A 21,200-nucleotide genomic window follows, 5' to 3' on the forward strand; every position below is an offset into this window, starting at 1 on the left:
AGTAGCTATGTAGGCCCTTCAGAGTCACTTCACTTTTCTGAGCTTTCGTTTCTTCAACGTCTTCCTGTCTGTAAGACACATGCTCTTCTACCCCTGAGACCAAAAAATGTTACCAGTGAGGATCTAATGATATAAAATAGGGAAAATGCTTTAAAACTGCACAGTGCTTAACAAATGCACTGTTATTATATCATTAAAAGTGACTCCTGGGTGGTGGGAATGGTTGCATAACGACGTGAATGTACTTGATGTCACTTAAAACTGGTTACAATGGTAAATTTTATGGTATATATATTTTACCACAATTAATACATTTTAAAAGATGGTTCTTGACAATTATTCTTAGCGTCTGAGGTGCCCCATTTCTTGGGTATGGGCATATAGTGCCTCAAGAATATTGGGGATCCTCACCTCTTCTATGCCCAAACCTTTAAGAAAATTCTGGGCCAGGCGCAGCGGCTCACAGCTGTAATCCACCACTTTGGGAAGCCGAGGTGGGTCGATCACCTAAGGTCGGGAGTTCGAGACCAGCCTGACCAACATGGAGAAAACCCGTCTCTACTAAAAATACAAAATTAGCTGGGTGTGGTGGCACACACCTGTAATCCCAGCTACTCGGGAGGCTGAGGCAGGAGAATCGCTTGAACCCAGGAGGCGGAGGTTGCGGTGAGCCGAGATTGCACCATTGCACTCCAGCCTGGGCAACAAGAGCAAAACTCCATCTCAAAAAAAAAAAAAAAATTCTGGAAAAGCTAGGTCAGTGACATGAATATTGGAATCAGAGTCTAACAAACTCAATTTCTTCCTTTCTAAATCCGTGGTACGGATTCATGTCTGCAGTAGTTTTTCTGAGAAAGCAGAAGGGGTAGGTATTGGCAATCAACAAGCTGCAGAGTATGCAGATTGAGGTCAGTAACTGTAAATGCCCCATGACTGTCTGATCATTTTAATACCAAAAGAAAAACTTAAAATCCCAGTTGCTAAAATCTTTGTCTTAGACAACTCTTTGAGCCTCTCCCTACAAGGCCCAGAAAGGAATGAGATAGATGTGAATGGAATCTGTTTTCCCTTCCCTTGCCACGCTCTGGAGGAGGAGTCTAGGGCAGTAGCCAAGGCCAGCTGCCAGTCAAGGAAAGGGGAGCGGCCCCGTTGAATCCACAAACCACACCATCCTGGCCCATGGGTTATATACAAACTCCCACATTGGCAACAAACAAAGGGCATGCACATTCAGGGGATTTTGCTTTCACTGTGAGTGTTTATCTTTGAAGGGTGTCACATCAAGATGAATGGGAAGGGTGTGTTGCAGTTGAGCTGAGGTTTGGTCTTTCTTGGCTTTTTTAGGGACACTTACAGGTCCAAATCTGCTTTCAGCCGGCTGGTGGACATGGTAGGAGACACAGTAGTCTCAGGACCAGGCCTCCAGGTGGGAGCTGAGATTCTAGAGGGTGGAAACCACTTGGAGATTGAGTCAAAGCAGACCTGTCCTCATTCTGTGCTGGGCAGGAGCCAGCTCTCCATGTCCCTGCAGCTCCAGCAACACCTCCGGATCTTTCAGCTTCCCTGGGACTAAGGACCATGCACATTATTAATTCTGATATAAACAGTCACACAGGCACATGTCTCAAGATGAGGGTGAGAAGTTGGTTACAGCAAATGAAGTAATAATGATCTTTGTGCTTCACAATAGGAATTCAACCAACCTGAGGTTTATAATTCACTTATTAACACTTTTTATTTTTGTTGAGACGGAGTGTCCCTCTGTCACTCACGCTGGAGTGCAATGGTGTCATCTCGGCTCACTGCAACCTCCGCCTCCTGGGCTCAAGTGAGTCTCGTGCCTTGAGTGGCTGAGACTACAGGCACATGCCACCATGCCCAACTAATTTTTTTGTATTTTTAGTAGAGATGGGGTTTTGCCATGTTGGCTAGGCTGGTCTCAAACTCCTGGCTTCAAGTGATCCGCCTACCTCAATCTCTTCAAGCGCTGGGATTACAGGGGTAAGCCACTGTGCCTGGCCATAATTCATTTATCAGTCATATATATATACACACACACTGGGAGAATCTAGGGTCAGTGCCTTACAAATGGCACAAGTTGAAGCCCTGAGACTCCCACTCCTACCCTGCTCCCCCCATTCTCAGTACTGCTCCTCAGATGCCTCCAGCAGATCATCCATTTCTGCTAGGCTGGGCCTGGGTACATGCAGGGAGATGTGTACAGGGGCTAAGAGCAGAAACTTTTGAGTGAGACACTCCTGAGTTCATGCACTGGCCCTGCCATTTGTCAGCTAATTGATGTTGCATTTAATTGCATCATCTGTATGTAAGCCTAATAATTTATAGCCATCTTAGAGATGTTGTGAGCTTAAATAACATAGTAGTGAATATTTATTTATTTGTTTATTTATTTATTTAGACAGGGCCTCGCTCTGTCACCTAGGCTGGAGTGCAGTGGTGTGATCATAGCTCACTGCAGCCTTGACCTCCCACACTCCAGTTATCCTCTCACCTCAGCCTCCTGAGTAGCTTGAGACAACAGATGCATGCCACCATAACTGACTAATTTTTTAAAATTTTCTGCAGAGACAGTGTCTCCCTATGTTGCCCAGGCTGGCCTCGATCTCTTGGGCTCAAGCGATCATCCTGCCTTGGTCTTCCAAAGTGCTGGGATTACTGGTGTGAGCCACTGCACCCACAGCCTATTTATTGAGAAATGTGGAAGGCCCAGGCACTATTCTAAGTGCTCCAGCTGTTTTATCTCCCACAGTTTTGCTCAGATAGGAGTTCCAAAGCTGGAGCTGGAAGACTCATATTTTTAGAAATGTTACAGTTAATTCTGAGGTGGGTCAGATTGAGATTCATGGCTATGCATTAATGTTTAGGTGGTGACTAACCACTCAGGGTTTTAGAGACAAACAGACCTTATTCTGTCACTCACTGACTGAGCGTGGCCAAGTCTTTCAGCCTCTCTAAGCCTCAGTGTCCTCATCCATAAAATGGGACCAATCGTAGCATCCACTTCTGAGAACTGTTCAGAAGTGGAAATGAGCTAGTTTAGGTGGCTGTGTCTGGCATACGCCAATGGTTTGATAAGTATTAGCTTGTGCCTTTATTAGGCCAACTCCTTTTTGTTAGGTGACTGAGAAACCAAGGACCTTCTGCCCTTTATGCACCAGTCACTATTAGTTTAAATTTGTTGCTCTTCCATCCACATGATTCATTCCAAATTTGAAGTGTTGGAGAAAGGGAGTTAGTATGTCATAGAAAAATCTCTGTTTTTGGCTCAGCAGGACTGAGTTTGACTCCATGTAACTGTCTGAGTCTTAGTTTCCTCATCCATAACATGGGAGAACAATACCCTGAATTAGAGAATTCTGCTGCCAGAATTAGAGATAGTTCATGTCAAGGTGCAACATATAGGTAATGTGTTATTGCTGGTGTTCTGGTTATAAAATGTACAAGATGTGAAAGCAAAAGGGCAGAAAACCCTTTTTAAAAATTCATGGCTGGGCGCGCTGCCTCATGCCTGTAATCCCAGCACTCTGCCAGGCCGAGGCGGGTGGATCACCTGAGGTCGTGAGTTTGAGACCAGCCTGACCAACATGGAGAAACCCTGTCTCTACTAAAAATACAAAATTAGCCGGGCATGGTGGCGCATGCCTGTAATCCCAGCTACCCAGGAGGCTGAGGCAGGAGAATCGCTTGAACCCGGGAGGCGGAGGTTGCTGTGAGCCGAGATGGCACCATTGCACTCCAGCCTGGGCAACAAGAGCGAAACTCCGTCCCCCGAACAAAAAATTCAAATGGGAAAGAGAGGCAGATGGCAGAGAACAGGGGAGGGGCTGGGCACCGTGGCTCATGCCTGTAATCCCAGCACTTTGGGAGGCCAAGGCGGGTGGATTTCTTGAGGTCAGGAGTTCAAGACCAGTCTGACCAACATGGTGAATCCCCATCTCTATTAAAAATACAAAAATTAGCCGGGGGTGGTGGTGGGTGCCTGTAGTCCCAGCTACTCGGGAGGCTGAGGCAGGAGAATCACCTGAACTCAGGAGGTGGAGGTTGCAGTGAGTCAAGATCGCACCACTGTACTGTTGCCTGGGCAACGCACCGAGACTCCGTCTCAAAAAAAAAAAAAAAATGAGAGAACAGGGGAGGGTCTAGGGCTCAGAGCTTTGGAGAACAGACCTCAGTAGCACCAACACTCCAGGATCAATGCTACAAAGACACGGGTTACAACTAAACTGGAGAACATGGCCAAGGATGGGAACTCAGCCTGAGCAGGGCTGAGCCGAGCAGGGCTAAGCCAAGTAGGGCTGAGCCAGAACACTTCCTCCTTTTTTCTGAACAATCTACCTACATTTCAGCTACAGGGCTGGCTTTACCCAGTCCGGCGGGAGGGAGGAGAGGGCTGGTCTGTGACTTCAGTGCTGAGGTTTGATCAAGGCAAAGGGAAACTTCCTATTCCCAGACCCTTTGCAAGAAAGAATGGCATATTACTTGCCACCGACAGGGGTTATTATTACTAAATGGAGTCAGTATAAATGCTTTCCAATAAAGCATGTCCAGCGCTCGGGCTTTAGTTTGCACGTCCATGAATTGTCTGCCACATCCCTCTTCTGAATGGTTGGAAATTGGGCATCTGTTCCTTTAAACAGGAAACATTTCTTGTTCGAGTGAGTCATCTCTGTTCTGCTTTAGGAGTAAAGTTTACCCTGCAGTTCCTTCTGTGGTGAAGTTTTCTCTTTCTCTCGGAGACCAGATTCTGCCTTTCTGCTGGAGGGAAGTGTTTTCACAGGTTCTCCTCCTTTTATCTTTTGTGTTTTTTTTCAAGCCCTGCTGAATTTGCTAGTCAACTCAACAGGAAGTGAGGCCATGGAGGGAGGCAGAAGAGCCAGGGTGGTTATTGAAAGTAAAAGAAACTTCTTCCTGGGAGCCTTTCCCACCCCCTTCCCTGCTGAGCACGTGGAGTTAGGCAGGTTAGGGGACTCGGAGACTGCGATGGTGCCAGGAAAGGGTGGAGCGGGTGAGTGCCTGTTGCCAAGGTGGCCTCTTCAACAGGAAACCACAATATTTTTGTTTCTTGACTTGCTCTAGAAACAGGGCTGTGGGGGTGGGGAAGCAACTTGGATCTGCCCTTCTGAGGACACCTCTGGGTGCTGCCTGGCCCAGGTCTCCTGTGTGGTTTCTCTCTGAGCCGTTGCCTCTGACTTTGCTACTTTTTCACTCTGAGCAGTCTCCAGTTCCTCTGCTACCTTTTTGTCCTCCAAGCTTCCCTGCCGCCTCGAATGCAGATACACGGTCTCCCTCCTGTGGACCCGTTTGGAGAGTCCAGAAGACTTTATCAATCCACTTTTTTTTCTTTTTCATTTGGCCCTGGGGCCGACGGTTAAGTACTTTATTCTGTCATTCTGTCGAATCACGATGCCCTGAGGTGCACAGCCCCTTCCCCCTCTTCCGTGTCTGAAGGGTTTCCTTTTATCTCTCCACCCCCACCCTTGCCCTCCTGCCCTCTCTCTTGTTCCCCAAAGACAGTTCTCTAATGTTTTGATGTGGATTCGTGAATTTATCTGTATCTTTGCAAAATGTATTTTTCTTTTGTATGTGTACACTGTTTTTTAACTATGCGATCTCAGGCAAGTAATTCCTCTGTGCCTCTGTTATCTCATCATTAAATGATTAATAATGCCTCCAGAGGTGACTGTGAGGCTTGAAGGAGATAATACGCATACATCACTTACTACACGAGTTAGCAATTATTATTGCATATTAATACTATTGGTATTTTATTTTGCTCATTCTGTTTCTATTTCTTTTTTATTTATTTATTTTTTGAGACAAAGTCTTGCTCTGTCACCCAGGCTGCAGTGCAGTGGTGCAATCACGGCTCACTGCAGCCTCAACATCCTGGGATCAAGCAATTTTCCCATCTCAGCCTTCAGATTAGCTGGGACCACAGGCGCGTGCTACCACACCTGGCTAATTAAAAAATTTTTCTTCATAGAGATGGTGTCTCATTTTGTTGCCCAGGCTGGTCTCAAACTCCTATGCTCAAGGGATCCTCCCACCTTGGCCTCTCAAAGTGCTAGGATTACATGCATGAGCCACGGTGGCCATCCAGGCATTGATATTATGAGGCCATCTTGACCTAGCCCTCTCTGGTGAAGAGTCCTTTTCAGATACTTCGTTCAGTCTTCTCAGCTATGAGTCCCTACCCTCTGAAAGCTTATATTCTATTTGGGGAAAGACAAAAGGCAGTTTCAAAGAAGAGAGGTGTTTGATTTTCTTTTCCTACTTTTAATATCAGAAAACATTTCATCTAACTCTCAGTATGAAGGCAATATTTTGTTTACTGGTATATCCCTAGAGCCCAACATGGTGAGGGCCCCAGGATTTGCTTCTTTGATAAGATGGTAAACCCAGCTTTCAGCTAACTTCATGGTTTCCTCAGCTACACTCATATACAAGGATCACCTTTGGTAAGATGGACTTACCATCTTACCAAAGAGTTTTTGCATTTTAGAGTTTTTTCTTTTTAGATTTTTTTCATTTTAGAATTTTTTTATTTCAGAGTTTTTTCTTTTTAGAGGTTTTTCATTTTAGAGTTTTTTCTTTTTAGAGTTTTTTTTTTTTTTTAATTTTAGAGTATTTTAGGCTGCTGAGGGTGGAATCTGGTGACCTTGGGGCCACAGAGATGCTCCTTGGCTAAACCAGGGGCTTTAGCTCTGAAAGTTCACAGCCACCCTGAGAACCAAGATGAGAGGGCTCTGCAGTGTCCAATCTCAAGACCTCTCTGAGGTGCTCCATCAAGATTCATTGAATGAAAAAATTAAAGTCTTAATGATGAACCCAGAAAAATCTTTAAATCCTAAATATGAAATGAAAGTGTTCTTAGTTACAATCCAGTCCAACGTCCTTGTTTTGGAATGTGGAAATGAGGCCCCAAAGGTAAAATGGCCCATCCAAAGTCACAGCCAGGGGCCAGTGCTCAGGTGGCCAGGTGCCCTGCGTGCGGTCTCCTGGACCACCAGGCCTTTTTCCTGCAGCTTTAGAAGCTTTAGAAGGCACTCTGCTCACTCAGGGGCAAGTGGTAAGCGCTCTTTCCCCTCTAGTGTTTGTGACTCAGGAGTTTCGAAACAGGAAGTAGAGCTGGCTGGCTGTGCCCTTCCGTCCTTCATTAGACGTTTGCTCTTGTCTTAGATGCTCAGATGGTAGTGGATAGGCCTGTGACGAAGGTGCTACCATCGTGAGAGTAAGGTAAGGATTTGCCTCTTTGTTAAGGTCAGAGGGGCCTTTTGGGAGGAAGGCCTTTGATTCTGGAGTTTTCTAGGCTGCTGAGAGTGAGATCGGGTGGCCCTGGGGCCATGGAGGTGATCCTCGTATGTGAGTGTGGATGGGGAAACCATGAAGTTAGTGTAAGAGGTAGCAGTCCCTCTGAGAGCCTTGCCGAGGGCCGTGCAGTTTCCAGATCTGAAGGCCATTCTAGCTTAGACTGATGAAGTCCTAGGAGCTTCTGAAATGCTGCAAGTTTAACTACTTGTATAAAGGCCTCATCCTGATCCCAGTCAAACTTGTGAAATAATAGAAGCCAAAATTTAAATCTCTACTGACTTTGCTGCTACAGCTATCCTCCCACCAACACACATACCCACCAACATACACACTTGCCAACATAAACGCACACACACATACACACAAACACACCCATGTGGTCCTACTAATTCAATTATTTATTTTTTAAAGAAATTAAAAAAGACTGGGCGTGGTGGCTCTCGCCTGTCATCCCAGCACTTTGGGAGGTCGAGGCGGTGGTTCACCTGAGGTCGGGAGTTTGAGACCAGCTTGACCAACATGAAGAAACCCCGTCTCTACTAAAAATACAAAATTAGCCGGGCATGATGGCGCATGCCTGTAATCCCAGCTACTCGGGAGGCTGAGGCAGGAGAATCGCTTGAACCTGGGAGGTGGAAGTTGTGGTGAGCCGAGATCGTGCCACTGCACTCCAGCCTGGGCAACAAGAGCGAAACTCCGTCTCAAAAAAAAAAAAAAAAAAAAATTAAAAAGATACAGAACAGTTCAAAAAACAATATAATGGGAAGACTAGATAGACACAATCAGAGACCTGCACTTGTGGGGTTAAGAATTTACAGGTGAAGTTGCAAGTTTCATTCTGTTTGAAAATGATGGGATTATATGTTTTGCTGAGGTTTGGACACCTTTGCTGGGTTGTTTGAATGCCGTGGCTGCAGCGCCCTGTTATGGACATCATGTGCGTGCAGAATGGATGTCTGTCAGGTTCCGGGGCAGCCCGCAGTCTGAGGCAGCCAGCCTGGATTGGAGGGAGTGGCAATACTACCTGCCGGTTAGGGGTTTGGGCCTGAGAGCGAGTGGCTTTCAGGTTCTCTCAAGCTTCGGATGAGATGCAGGTTTCTGCTTCCGATGGCAAATGCATGTTTTGCTTTTTAGTTATCACTGCAAGAGCTAGGATGCTGCTAGAATATTACTGGAATGATTGTGATGAGATGGAATGTATTTACAGTTTAATTGTGACATGTAATACAGTGGTAGAATGGGACTCTGGAATGAGATGCTGGGGCCTAGATTCTAGCACTTCCTTTGTGAGGCTCTAACCCCCTCTCCTATAGTGGATTTGTTAAGAACTTCTGTTTTTGTGGCTTTGTTATTATAAAATTTTTTGAAATGTTGTTCTCTAAAAAAGTTATGATTTTATGTTTTTCTTCATGAGATTCTTTCACTGCCTTCCAGCTGCAAGTAGAATGACGTCTAAATCTTTGTGATCTGTCACTGAAGCCCTTGAGTGAGACACTTAAATCTGGCTGTGGCTCTCTCTCTTACTAGCTTATTTCCAAGCCGTGATTTTTCACAACAGAAAAATGGGGACAGTAATAGTAGTTTCTTCAGAGGCTTTTAGTGAAATGAGGTTAAAAAATATTTTTATGTTTATATGGATATATAGATTACAAACATTTATATATCATTTATTTATATGATTATTATAAACACATATTTATATTTAAATACTTTGGGGCATAAATATATAAAATAATAAATATACTTATGTAATACAAATAGACTTATATACATTTACTATTTAGCAGAGATTATATAAAATATATGTATTACATGGCAACATATTCAAATTTACATATGTTATATATACATGTGGAAAAAAAATTGGGAAAAGGCCACAAAATGTGACCAAAGAATTACTTCCAAATGGCAAGTTTTTAAGTAATTTTTATTTTCTTTTTATACTTCTCTGTACTTTCTCTATGAAACAAGTGTTACTTTTACTGTTTTTAGGAACCAAAAATACAAGTACATTGTTTAAAAAATACTAGCTTAACAAAGTTTCTAGCCCATAAGCTAGTGCAGAAAATCTAGGTCCCATAAAACAAGAACTGCCACACGATGTCTCTCCCCTTACAGTGCTGGATGGCCCGTTGTTAATGGTGTCATAAATCCTTTGCAAGTGACTGTTTTCTAGGTACTATGACTAGAGGGATGTGTAACTTAAGCAAAAAACAAAAAACAGAAAAGGCTGACTATCATCTGACAGTGTATCCTGGAACACCTAGGCCAGAGAAGAAGCCACGTTAGCATTTTCCCTTCTAAATGTCAGTTATGATTTGATGGGGAAACCACTTAAAAAGCATTGTCACGTTGTTGAAAAGGTAATGAAATGAGTGAGATGAGATGGCTATGGAGGACGGAGCTATGCGCCAATCTTATTATATCCAAATTCATGTCATCTCAGCCTTGGATTGTATTGATTTTTATTATATACTGTCAGAAAATGCTATTGAATGTGTAACAAGAGCCTCAAAAAGGTTTATTCATTTTGACACCATAATACTACTTTTAGGAAATTATTCTAAGAAAATAATTAGAGGTATTCTTAAAGATTTGCGTTTTAAAGTCATCCTAAATGTAATCAGGAACTGGCTATGTAAATTATAGCCCATCTCTAAGATTAAGTGCCTTACAGATATTAAAACCCATGCTGTAGAAGAAAAACTAAAGACAGGAAAGTACTTACAATACAAGATGTACTTACCAGTGGAAAAATCCACTTATACTACAGAAATATGATGTGTTCAAATATAAGGAAAAATGTGTATGCATAAAATATTTGGTAGGAAAGAGTAAAATATTACTGGGCATTTATATTTGGATGGTGGAATTATACATAATTTTAATTTTCCTTTTTATCTTTTCTGTATTGTCTAAAATGAATACACTAAGCATTGTTATCCTCAGAAAAAAATAATTGAGGGATGGGGGAAAGGAAGTCCTGCTTTCATTTGATTCTTTGGTTGGTTTTATTCTGTAAGATGAGACTTTAACAGAGGTTAGAATGCATTAAAAATTGTAAAGACAGTTGACCTAATGGCACTAAACAGGGTTAGATCTAGTTTAGATCTTTTCCAGCATGTGAATAAGAATGGATCTTTAAATAAAGATTTTAACTAGGTATATGTTTTAGAATAAGTCATACATGTACATGGTAAAAATTCAAACAGTACAAACTGTGCAGCAAGGTATGGGAAATAAAGCAGCTCTCACTGTCACCTCCACCCATCAGCCTTCTCACACTGCACGCCCACATCTGTGTGTAATTCTGCTTTTCTTTAACATTACTGAAGGAACTTCCTGTGCATTTTTTGTCAGAGCTCTTCTGTGAATACACAAAATATGTACTGATCAATACATTATGTAGATCACGCAGGCTCAACCACATTGATCTTCCTATTCTTTCTAGTAGCCAAATAGAGTTCCCTGGAATATGATTAATAGCTTGCCTAAATCTTCTAATGCTGATAAACAGTTGTTTCTGCTCTTTCGTTATTTCAAGGAATGCTACCATGAATAGCCTTATATATGGTTTTGAGTATACTTGTTTAAGTGAATGTAGGAAAAACTCTTGGAAGTTAAATTGTGGGCCAGTTTATGTGAATTTTATATTTTGACAGAGATGGCTAAATTACCCACCTGTTTTTTTGTTTTGTTTTGGTTTTGGTTTTGCTTTTTTTTTTTAAGAGTTGGGGTCTTGCTACCTGGGGTCTTGCCACCTGGGGTCTTGCCCAGGGTAGACCTGAACTCCTGGGCCACGTTGGTTTATTTTACTGCATTCCCAGGGCCTAGAGCAACGATTGACACGTGCTAGCAGTATCTATTGGAAATTCTGGCCAACTTGCAATAGACCTGATTATTTCTACACTGAACATGTCTAAGATAGCTATTACTATTCATTCAGGAAAGCCCAGACAATTATCATGCCAGCAGCCTGAGACAGTAGCCAGTAATAGCCTGGTGTGGTAGTTTGCTCCTGTAGTCTCAGCTACTCAGCAGGCTGAGGTGGGAGGATGGCTCTAGCCTGGGAGGTGGAGGTTGCAATGAGCCAAGATTGCGCCCTGCACTCCAGCCTGGGTGACAGAGTGAGACCCTGTCTCAAAAATAAAAATAAGAATAAAAAATAAACCAGCAAAAGTTTCTGCCCTCACAGAGCTTCCATTCTAGTGAGAGGGTAGTTTGTCATCAGGAGGGTGACGCCGGTAGGGCTGGGGGCCAGCTCCCTGCAGGGAACAAACATGATCGCAGTGGGGTGGGAGTAGGGGATGAGTCCCCAGAGCCTCTGTGGTTTCCATTTCCACACAAAAAAACCACTGCTGCTGTAATCAGGAGGGGGAAAAGATTTTTAAAAATTTTCTTTCAGGGAATGGAAGGAAAGGATATTTTTGAAAGTAAGACTTTGAAAACTAAAAGTTTTGGGTCACTTAAAAACTCAAAATCTTTAGGTCACTTTAAAAATATTTAATCTTGGAGCTGGAGGCCATTATTCTAGGTAATTAGCTGGGTGTGGTGGTGTGTCCCTGTAATCCCAACTACTAGGAGGCCGAGGCAGGAGGATTGCTTGAACCTGGGAGGCGGAGGTTGCAGTGAGCCGAGATCGCGACACTGCACTCCAGCTTGGGTGACAGAGCAAGACTGGGTCTCAAAAGAAAAAAAAAAAACGAAAACTAAATACCGTATGTTCTCACTTAAAAGTGGGAGCTAAGCTATGAGGATGCAAAGACATACAGAGGGATATAATGGACTTTGGGGATTGATGGTGGGGTTGAATGGGAGGTTGGTCCTAATAGGTCCTAGTACGTCCCCTACTTCTAAGTCTTCCAGTCTGTCCTTTGCACTTTGAATGTTAATTCCAAGTTGGATAATGTCATTCTCATTTTTACAGTCCTTTCTTAGCTCCTCATCACCTCCAGGACAAAGCCTAAACCCCTCGCCCCATGGTAATGCGGCCCCTTTGTGACATGGTACCTGGCTAGAGCTTCATCCCTTTGTCCCATCACTCTCCATCCCAGACACTTTGTAGTTACTTTATTGAGCTCCTTGTGCCTGCCTGAATGGACTTGAAAGTTCTTACCTCCATCTTTTACATTAATTGTTTCCTGTAAGAATTGTGCTTTCTCGCATTCTCCCCAAAATCCCTTCCCCATAGGAAGCCCTTCTCCCAGGCTAAGTTAAGGTTTCTTCCTCTACATCCCTACCACACTCTGGTCACAACCCTCTAACCATTGGCTTGTTTTTTTTGTTTTTTGTGTTTTTTTTTTTTTTGTGAGACGGAGTCTTGCCCTGTCACCCAGGCTGGAGTGCAGTGGTGCAATCTCCGCTCACTGCAACCTCCACCTCCTGGGTTCAAGCGATTCTCCTGCCCCAGCCTCCTGAGTAGCTGGGATTACAGGCACGTGCCTCCACACCTGGCTAATTTTTGCACTTTTAGTAGAGACGGGGTTTCACCATGTTAGTCAGGCTGGTCTCAAACTCCTGACCTCGTGATCCGCCTGCCTTGGCCTCCCAAAGTGTTGGGATTAGAGGCGTGAGCCACCGCGCCCAGCCCATTGGCTTGTTTGTATGTCTACCTTCCTAAACAGTAAGAGGGAACTTGTCTGGTGTTCTTTTTTTCTCTCCTGTGCTGACAGCACAATGACCAGTACCTAGTAGTTGCAGTAGCCTTTGATGAACAAGCCAGCAAATGGTACTTTTCTTCCTTATCTGAACATACCATTTATTTTGACTTAGATTATATTCTCCTGCCTTTTAAAAAGATGGACTTCAGCAGAAATCTTTATGATATTGGGGAACAACTGGACAGTGAAGATCTGGCCTCCCTCAAGTTCCTGAGCCTGGACTACATTCCGCAAAGGAAGCAAGAACCCATCAAGGATGCCTTGATGTTATTCCAGAGACTCCAGGAAAAGAGAATGTTGGAGGAAAGCAATCTGTCCTTCCTGAAGGAGCTGCTCTTCCGAATTAATAGACTGGATTTGCTGATTACCTACCTAAACACTAGAAAGGAGGAGATGGAAAGGGAACTTCAGACACCAGGCAGGGCTCAAATTTCTGCCTACAGGTGGGTGGAAACTCCCATTGTGGGACTGGGAGGTGTGGGTTGAATGGACAGCCTCTGAGCTGATTGGGGCTTTTTTTTGTGGTACCCTGCCTAGTGCCTGGGAACCCAGCAGTGCCACAATTCTAAGCTTCTACAGAAAGACAGTAGTGCCTTGGGTGGTCCTGCTAAAGGCTGTAAAACTTAGCTTCTCCCCACCCTAGAGAGAGTGGGTAAACAAAGGCGTGAGAGAGAAACCACATTCAGTATCACTTGGGAGGCTTTGGGAAGATGTCCCACCGGAGCCAGATTAAGAAATTTAGGGGCCTTATATATAATTCTATAGAAATGCTAAGACCATAAAATAAAAATTTATTTTTCAAAGTGAAACATTACTTAGAGGTATGCTGAAGTTATAATAGAGTTTTTCTAAGTGTTCTCATTTTTTTCCTCTCTTATCTTGATGCCTCTCGATATCCAGATTGTGTGCTTACTTTGCCCATCCATTGAGTAAAGCATCATGGCTTCCCACCCTGAAATCCCCCTCCCACCTGCTTGCGGATGGCTATGAAAATTTTCAATGAGATTTAAGGGTTTTCTGCCACACTTAAAGACTCGAATGACTAAGTTCTTTACGGAGCTGTAAGCCGCTGGCCTGGCACATACAGCTAGGCAGTCTCCACCGAGGCTGCCCAGTTCCTGTGAGCCCGGCTGTATGACAGTTCTAAGCTTCTATAGGAAGACAGTGGCACGTTGGGTCATCCTGCCAAAGGCTGTAAAACTCAGCTTCTCCCCACCCTAGGGAGAGTGGGTAACCAAAGGTGTGAGAGAGAAACCCCATTCAGTTACAACTTCATGATGCTGTGACAAGACTTTAAAAACAGAAACACATTGTCACTTTCTCTCTTTCAACATCTCCTATTATCGGACACTACTTAAAGCAATTTTAGCTTTGCTTTCAGGAAACTTCTACTGAAGTCTTCGTTCTGGGCCCATTTCATTGTCTCTGTTTGCTTGTTGATAACTATGGCATGTGAGATGGAAAGGGTTCACAACCAGGGCTGACAGCTGCTGTCCTCTGATGGCTCAGCCCATGAATGCTCTGGTCTTTCTATTCTCAGAGACTATTTTTTGTTTTGAGGCTTGACTATTTTTTGTTTTGTTTTGTTTTGTTTTTGAGACGGAGTCTCGCTTCATCACCCAGGCTAGAGTGCAGTGGCATGATCTCGGCTCACTGCAACATCTACCTCCAGGGTTCAAGTGATTCTTCTGCCTCAGCCTCCTGAGTAGCTGGGATTACAGGTGTGTGCCACCATGCCCAGCTAATTTTGTATTTTTAGTAGGACGGAGTTCCACCATGTTGGCCAGGCTGGTCTCGAACTCCTGACCTTAAGTTATCCACCAGCCTTGACCTCTCAAAGTGCTGGGATTATAGGTGTGAGCCACCATGCCCAGCCAAGGCTTGACCATTTTGATTTTAAGTGAAAAAAGAGATATTCTGGGCCGGGTGAGGTGGCTCACGCCTGTAATCCCAGCACTTTGGGATGCTGAGGAGAGCTGATCACCTGAGGTCAGGAGTTCAAGACTAGCCTGGCCAACATGGTGAAACCTCATCTCTACTAAAAATACAAAAATTAGCTGGGTGTGGCGGCTCACGCCTGTAATCCCAGCTACTTGGGAGGCTGAGGCAGGAGAATTGCTTGAACCCAGGAGGTGGAGGTTGCAGTAAGCTGAGATTATGCCATTGCACTCCAGCCTGGGCAACAAGAGTGAAACTCTGTCTCAAAAAAAAAAAGAAAGAGATATTCTGGGTATATAAGTTTCCTAGGGCTGCTGTAACAAAGTAACACAAACTAGCAGGTTTAAAACAGTTTTTAAAATGTGTTTTCACAGTTCTGGAGGCCTGAGTCAGAAGTCAAGATGCCAACAGTGTTGGTTCCCTTTTAAGAGGCTCCGAGGAATAATCTTTTTCATGCCTTTCCCTGCTTCGGGTGGGTGGAGGAATCCTCAGTGCTCCTTGTCTTGTAGATGAGGCACAGCAGTCTCTGCCTATGTTCCCTTCTCTGTGTCTAAATCTCCCTCTTATGAGACAGTCACTGGATTAGGAATTAGGGCCCACCTAATCCAGTATGGCCTCATCTTTGTGTGTGTGTGTGTGTGTGTGTGTGTGTGTGTGTGTGTGTGTGTGTGAGACAGTGTCTCACTACATCGCCCAAGCTGGAGTGCAGTGGCATGATCTCGGCTCAGTGCAACCTCCACCTCCTGGGTTCAAGCAATCCTCCCACCTCAGCCTCCCAAGTAGCTGGGACTACAGGCACCCGCCACCATGTCTGGCTAATTTTTGTATTTTTTTGTAGAGATGGAGTTTCAAAATGTTGCCCAGGCTAGTCTTGAACTCCTGGGCTCATGCAATCTGCCCACCTCAGCCTCCCAAGTTCTGGGATTACGGGCATGAGCCACTGCGCCTGGCCAGCATGACCTCATCTTAATGAGATTTTATCTGCAAACGTCCTGGGTCCACATAAGGTCGCATTCTCATATTCCAGATAGACATGAATTTTGGGGAAGAGGGGAGAACACTATTCAACCAGTACACTAGATAGCTTTGGTTTACTAGCATTGTGAAGTCTTTATAAGGCACTTATTCATTAAGGCGCCAGTTAGTCCTAAAAACCCACAGCCCCAGAACAAGGAAAGCCGAGGGGGGTCTCATCTTGTGCCCACCATCTTGGTCCTTTGAAGGTTCCACTTCTGCCGCATGAGCTGGGCTGAAGCAAACAGCCAGTGCCAGACACAGTCTGTACCTTTCTGGCGGAGGGTCGATCATCTATTAATAAGGCAGGATCTCTCTTAAAATCTTTAATGTATTGGCTTAGAGATAAAAGGGTCCGGGCAATCCTGACTTACTGCTTGTTCATTATCATTGAATACTAGCCAGAAGCTAATAAATATGCTAGGGTGACCACTTACCATTATAAGAAAACACTAGACATTTTATTTTCCAGTTATAATTGCTACCTATAAAATAAAGATCTTATAAACTATTCAGGTTCATTACTAAATGGTGATGGTACAAGAAAGCCTATAGGCTTCAATAATGAGGAAAGCAAAAGGGTAAATACCTTGTAATAAAGGTGAAAGAGTCAGAGTAGCTTTGGATTAGATCCAATTTTGGCCAAACTGAAAGCTTTAGATAAACACTTCTAGGGTAGAGAGTCCATGAGAAGGGGGATAAGGCAGATGGTAATACTGAGTAATTTCTGTTTCTACGCCATTTTTATTTTCAGAATTTTACTTTTCTAATTAAATTTTAAAGTCAACGTGTTTTTGTATTAAAATTATTTTCCTTTACACCATAGTATTGAAAGGTTTGCTGACTTCTAAAACATTCCTTTGTTCACCTATTCGACAAGCATATTCCAAGAGCCTAAATGTGCCAATCACATAAATGTGATAGGCATAGATTAGGAAATAGTAACACCTATCACTCATTGAGCACTTAGTGTGTTGCCAAAGACTGATTTAAGTACTTCACATAAACTTATTTGTGTAACCCTCGAAACCTTCCTATGATGTGGTTACGGATAATTATCTTCAGTCTATGGACGAGGAAAAAATGTGTAACATGTCTAAAGTTAACACTGCTCAAAGATAGTGGAACCAAGGCTCCAACACCAATAGCCTGGGTCCGCTGAGCTCAATCATTGCACCTCACAACCCTCTGGGTTTATGAAAATAAAAAGGGTACGGACCTGGCCACTAGGGGACTTGAACAGTTTCTAAACAGACAATTATTTTCTGTTTTTATTTTTAGTGTGGTGGCATGATCACAGCTCACTGCAGCCTCAACCTTCTGGGCTCAAGTGATCCTCTCACCTCAGCTTCTGGAGTAGCTGGGACCACAGGTGCATGCCACCACACCCGGCTAATTTTTAAATGTTTTTGGTAGAGATGGGGTCTTGCTATGTTGCCCAGGCTGGTCTCAAACCCCTGGGCTCAAGTGATCCTCCTTCTGCCTTGGCCTCCTAATGCGCTGGAATTAGAGGCATGAACCACTGCACCAGGCCAACAGACAATTATGTGTGTTATCGTTTTGGGGTTACTAAGTCATAGTGGAGTGAATGCAGCTTTGAGGATGCTCAGGCAATGCTTGAGCTGATTGTTCATGGATGGGCCTCTGCAGATAGACAAGGGGATGGGGTGTAGCGGCACCACAGAAAGGGGTGAGGGCAGGGCAGCTGGGTGTGTTTGGCTTCAGGTCCTTTCGTGTTTGCGGTCTGGTCTGTGATAGGGATGTATTCGGAGACTTTGTATTCCAGAACCGAATGCTTGGCCGTCTTACTGAAGATAATGACTGGGAGAATACTGACCAGTTTTGATTAGGGAAGTCATGAGCCAATGTGCATTTTGAAAAGCATAATTTCCAAAAGGCAAAGCATTTTGCTATTGCAACAAAATCTCCATTTTACAGAAAAAAAAAAAGGAAAACAAGATTTACTCAACTGAAATAAACTGAAAGAAAAGTTGATAGAACTTTAAATTGTTAAGGGTGGGAAAGTCGGGGAGGAGCCAGTAGACTTCTGTGTCACCACACCAGCCTCTTTCCAAGGGCTCAACTCATAAACCATGCCATTAACTGGCTTTATGTTGAAGGGAGGCCTTTGGAATCAAGCCCACTGTGACTCCATATATCAAATGGGAAATTATTTGGGAAAAGATTTCTAAAGTGTCTCCATTTCCCACCACAGGGTCATGCTCTATCAGATTTCAGAAGAAGTGAGCAGATCAGAATTGAGGTCTTTTAAGTTTCTTTTGCAAGAGGAAATCTCCAAATGCAAACTGGATGATGACATGGTAAGACCTGGTATCTTACTGAGATTTAGTCCTGAGACTTGGTTAGCCAGGGGGCATTTCTGAGACCAAAGAGAGGGGTATTTTGGTAAAAGCAACCTGGATTCTCACTTTTTAACTAGAAGAAGAAAGTTGTCAGCACGAGTGTTACAGATGTGATTCCTTTAGACCGAAGTGCTGCTCATGTTAATTATTGGGAGCAAGGCAGAGTCAGAGGCCGGGAGAAGGAGGCTGTGCAGATGCAGCCCAGACCCGGCAGAGCTGGGAAAGACTGCGGTGGGTCTGAGATATTTCCTCCACTTCTGCAGTCCCCGAAACAACCTGGGACCTGAAACTCTGTGTGTATATTGTGTCTGTGTGTTGTGTGTGTATTTCCGTGTCTGTGTGTGCCTTTCTCTGTGTATAGTGTGTGTCTGTATTTGTGTGTGATATGTGTATCTCTGTGTGTCTCTGTATAAGTGGTGTGTGTGTCTGTGTATCTCTGTGTGTGTGTTCTCTGTGTGGTATGTGTGTCTGTGTGTTGTGTAGTGTGTATTGTATTTATGCCCCTGTGTGTGTATCACTGAGTATACTCTGTGTGTGTTGTATCTGTGTGTGTATGTGCATGTGGTGTCTGTGTGTGTGTGTCTGTGTGTCTGTATGTACTCAGGTCTGGAGAGGCAATGCTGGGGGTGAGGCTGTTCCCCAGGGTGTCACCATGATGACCGGGCTGCTGTCTCAGGTTGTTTCACAGTCCCCAAGTAATGCATTCGCAGGAGATTTGAGCACAGGGCCTGGGGACTGGGTGACATCTGACATGGCTTCTCCTTTATCCTCTCACTTCTGTCTTTCTGGGCCAGAAAACATGGAATCGCTTCCCTAGTAGCCTGCTGGCTGTGAGAGACCAGCAGAAACTGTCAGAAACTTGGGAAGCAAGGGCAGGTCCTTGGTTGGAGAAATTGGAAATTAAAAAAAAAAATCTAATCTAAAAACCAGTAGGGCTCAATCCAGATTCCCAACTTTATTTCTCCTCCTCTTAGAACCTGCTGGATATTTTCATAGAGATGGAGAAGAGGGTCATCCTGGGAGAAGGAAAGTTGGACATCCTGAAAAGAGTCTGTGCCCAAATCAACAAGAGCCTGCTGAAGATAATCAACGACTATGAAGAATTCAGCAAAGGTAGAAACAACCTGACAGCCGGGAATCGGCAAAACCTACTCTAAAATTGAAACTGACAAATCGCTCCATATCACAGTTGTTTCTAATCAAATATTGTTTGGGGTTTCCCCTTTTAATTCAGAGAGAAGCAGCAGCCTTGAAGGAAGTCCTGATGAATTTTCAAATGGTAATGCTTGGAGATACATTTTCAAGATTTAGTTAATTTACTATCTGGTACCTGCATGTGTCCTCCCCACAGCCTTCTACCACATGCACATCTTAACGTGCCTGCTCTACTTTTTCTTTTTTTTTTTTTTTTTGTGAGACAGTTTTACTTTGTTTCCCAGGCTGGAGAGCAGTGGCACCATCTCGGCTCACTGCAATCTCCGCCTCCCAGGTTCAAGCAATTCTCCTGCCTCAGCCTCCTGAGAAGCTGGGATTACAGGTGCGTGCACCACCACGCCTAGCTAATTTTGTATTTTTATTAGAGATGGGGTTTTACTATATTGGCCTGGCTAGTCTCAAACTCCTGACCTCAGGTGGTCTGCCTGCCTTGGCCTCCCAAAGTGCTGGGATTACAGGCATGAGCCACTGCGCCCGGCCGCACCTGCTCTCCTAAGACCTGTAGCCCAAGCTGGCAAGTTTGAAATAGGTGCAGAGTTAGTCAGTAGTAAGTAATTTAACATCATTTTTTCTATGTGGCTTTTTTTTTCTCCTTGACGTGCTGCTCATGTTATGCACTGAGTAGCTGGATTTAAATTATGTTTCATAATTTTCTTGGTTAAGTCACTTTCTCTTTCAACACCTTCTACACTAAGTCACTCCTTTCAACTTCCTTTCACTTTTTCTACCTGATAAGCGAGGCTGAACCAAGAGAGAGAGCTCTCAACGATCTCCTTCAAAATTTTGATTAATCAAATAGTCTTTTTTTTTTTTTGAGACAGTGTCTCACTTTGTCCCCCAGGCTAGAATGCAGTGATGCAATCTTGGCTCACAACAGCCTCGACCTCCTGGACTCAGATGATCCTCTTGCCTCAACCCCCTGAGTAGCTGGGACCACAGGCACAAGCCACCATGCCCGGCTAATTTTTGTATGTCTTGTAGAGATGGGGTTTCGCTATGTTGCCCAGGCTGATCTTGAACTCCTGAGCTCAAGCCATCCACCTACCTGGGCCTCCCAAAGTGCTGGGACTATAGGCAATTAATAAAGTATTCTTTCTGATTAGAAAAATTATATACACTAATTGAAGATTATTTTAAATTCAGAGAAATTTTTACAAGTCCAAGAACACCATCACTCCATTCATATTATGAATATTTTTATTGTATTTTTACGTTGGCTCTTTGTGGTGTGTGTGTGTAAAATACATTTTGGATCACTCAAATGTATTTTAAAGATTAATGTCTATGCAGGCTGTCCTTCCCTTTCCCCTCTGCCTGCTGAGCCTAAGGCCTTAAGAATACTTTAAGGAGTAAAGTACTAAATCATTAATTCATCCTGAGCTAGTGGCTTTATTAATGAGTATCTCACAAATACCACAAAAATTCAACCTGGCCATGTGGAGCAATATAAAATTATGGCATTTCTTGGTATGTTTTTCTCTTTGGCGAGGAGACAACTTGATCTTGTGTTTCCAGAAGCATGTTAATTGCCCTGCTTGCAGAATCTCTCTGGCTTGAAAGGAGATTATATTCATGGCAGTCTGTGAATTTTCATTTTATTTCATTTATTTATTTGAGACAGAGTCTCACTCTGTTGCCCAGGCTGGAGTGCAGTAGTGCGATCTCAGCTCACTGCAAC

The 21,200-nt window shown here is 43.8% G+C and overlaps 1 protein-coding gene across 69 annotated transcripts in view, besides 7 other annotated features; it reads left to right on the forward strand.

Annotated features, from left to right (window-relative positions):
- Positions 1 to 21,200, forward strand: part of CASP8 (caspase 8) — a 54,249-nt gene that overhangs the window by 19,894 nt on the left and 13,155 nt on the right. For 6 of the 69 annotated variants that reach the window (NR_174602.1, NR_174596.1, NM_001372051.1 and 3 more), the window contains exons 1-5: positions 7,180 to 7,257; positions 13,105 to 13,435; positions 18,160 to 18,265; positions 19,282 to 19,420; positions 19,542 to 19,586. Coding sequence is in view for 43 of the 69 variants with exons in the window: in NM_001372051.1 (NP_001358980.1) it covers positions 13,131 to 13,435; positions 18,160 to 18,265; positions 19,282 to 19,420; positions 19,542 to 19,586 (595 nt within the window). In the remaining 26 variants the exon portion in view is untranslated. Of the gene's footprint in view, positions 1 to 4,678; positions 5,027 to 7,179; positions 7,258 to 13,104; positions 13,436 to 16,153; positions 16,250 to 18,159; positions 18,266 to 19,281; positions 19,421 to 19,541; positions 19,587 to 19,746; positions 19,845 to 21,200 lie in introns of those variants that run through there. The other 63 variants (NR_174598.1, NR_174588.1, NR_174583.1 and 60 more) reach the window with 30 other exon arrangements.
- Positions 4,225 to 4,274: an enhancer, noted in NCBI's record as "active region_16986". NCBI's record gives its function as "activates an Ori minimal core promoter by ATAC-STARR-seq in GM12878 lymphoblastoid cells {active_cell/tissue: GM12878}" and the evidence as "EXISTENCE:reporter gene assay evidence [ECO:0000049][PMID:35858748]".
- Positions 4,755 to 4,884: an enhancer, noted in NCBI's record as "active region_16987". NCBI's record gives its function as "activates an Ori minimal core promoter by ATAC-STARR-seq in GM12878 lymphoblastoid cells {active_cell/tissue: GM12878}" and the evidence as "EXISTENCE:reporter gene assay evidence [ECO:0000049][PMID:35858748]".
- Positions 4,755 to 4,988: a biological region, named in NCBI's record as "melanoma risk locus-associated MPRA allelic enhancer 2:202122995".
- Positions 4,844 to 4,988: an enhancer, noted in NCBI's record as "145 bp 2:202122995 sequence used in MPRA reporter constructs". NCBI's record gives its function as "activates a minimal TATA-containing promoter with rs3769823 allelic activity by MPRAs in C283T melanocytes and UACC903 melanoma cells {active_cell/tissue: C283T | UACC903}" and the evidence as "EXISTENCE:reporter gene assay evidence [ECO:0000049][PMID:36423637]".
- Position 4,916: a transcriptional cis regulatory region, noted in NCBI's record as "rs3769823 or 2:202122995 MPRA-significant variant associated with a GWAS melanoma risk locus at 2q33.1". NCBI's record gives its function as "allelic transcriptional activity by MPRAs in C283T melanocytes and UACC903 melanoma cells {active_cell/tissue: C283T | UACC903}" and the evidence as "EXISTENCE:reporter gene assay evidence [ECO:0000049][PMID:36423637]".
- Positions 4,985 to 5,044: an enhancer, noted in NCBI's record as "active region_16988". NCBI's record gives its function as "activates an Ori minimal core promoter by ATAC-STARR-seq in GM12878 lymphoblastoid cells {active_cell/tissue: GM12878}" and the evidence as "EXISTENCE:reporter gene assay evidence [ECO:0000049][PMID:35858748]".
- Positions 5,065 to 5,484: an enhancer, noted in NCBI's record as "active region_16989". NCBI's record gives its function as "activates an Ori minimal core promoter by ATAC-STARR-seq in GM12878 lymphoblastoid cells {active_cell/tissue: GM12878}" and the evidence as "EXISTENCE:reporter gene assay evidence [ECO:0000049][PMID:35858748]".

The sequence above is a fragment of the Homo sapiens genome, chromosome 2, assembly GCF_000001405.40.
Source record: "Homo sapiens chromosome 2, GRCh38.p14 Primary Assembly".
NCBI classification, from domain to species: domain Eukaryota; kingdom Metazoa; phylum Chordata; class Mammalia; order Primates; family Hominidae; genus Homo; species Homo sapiens.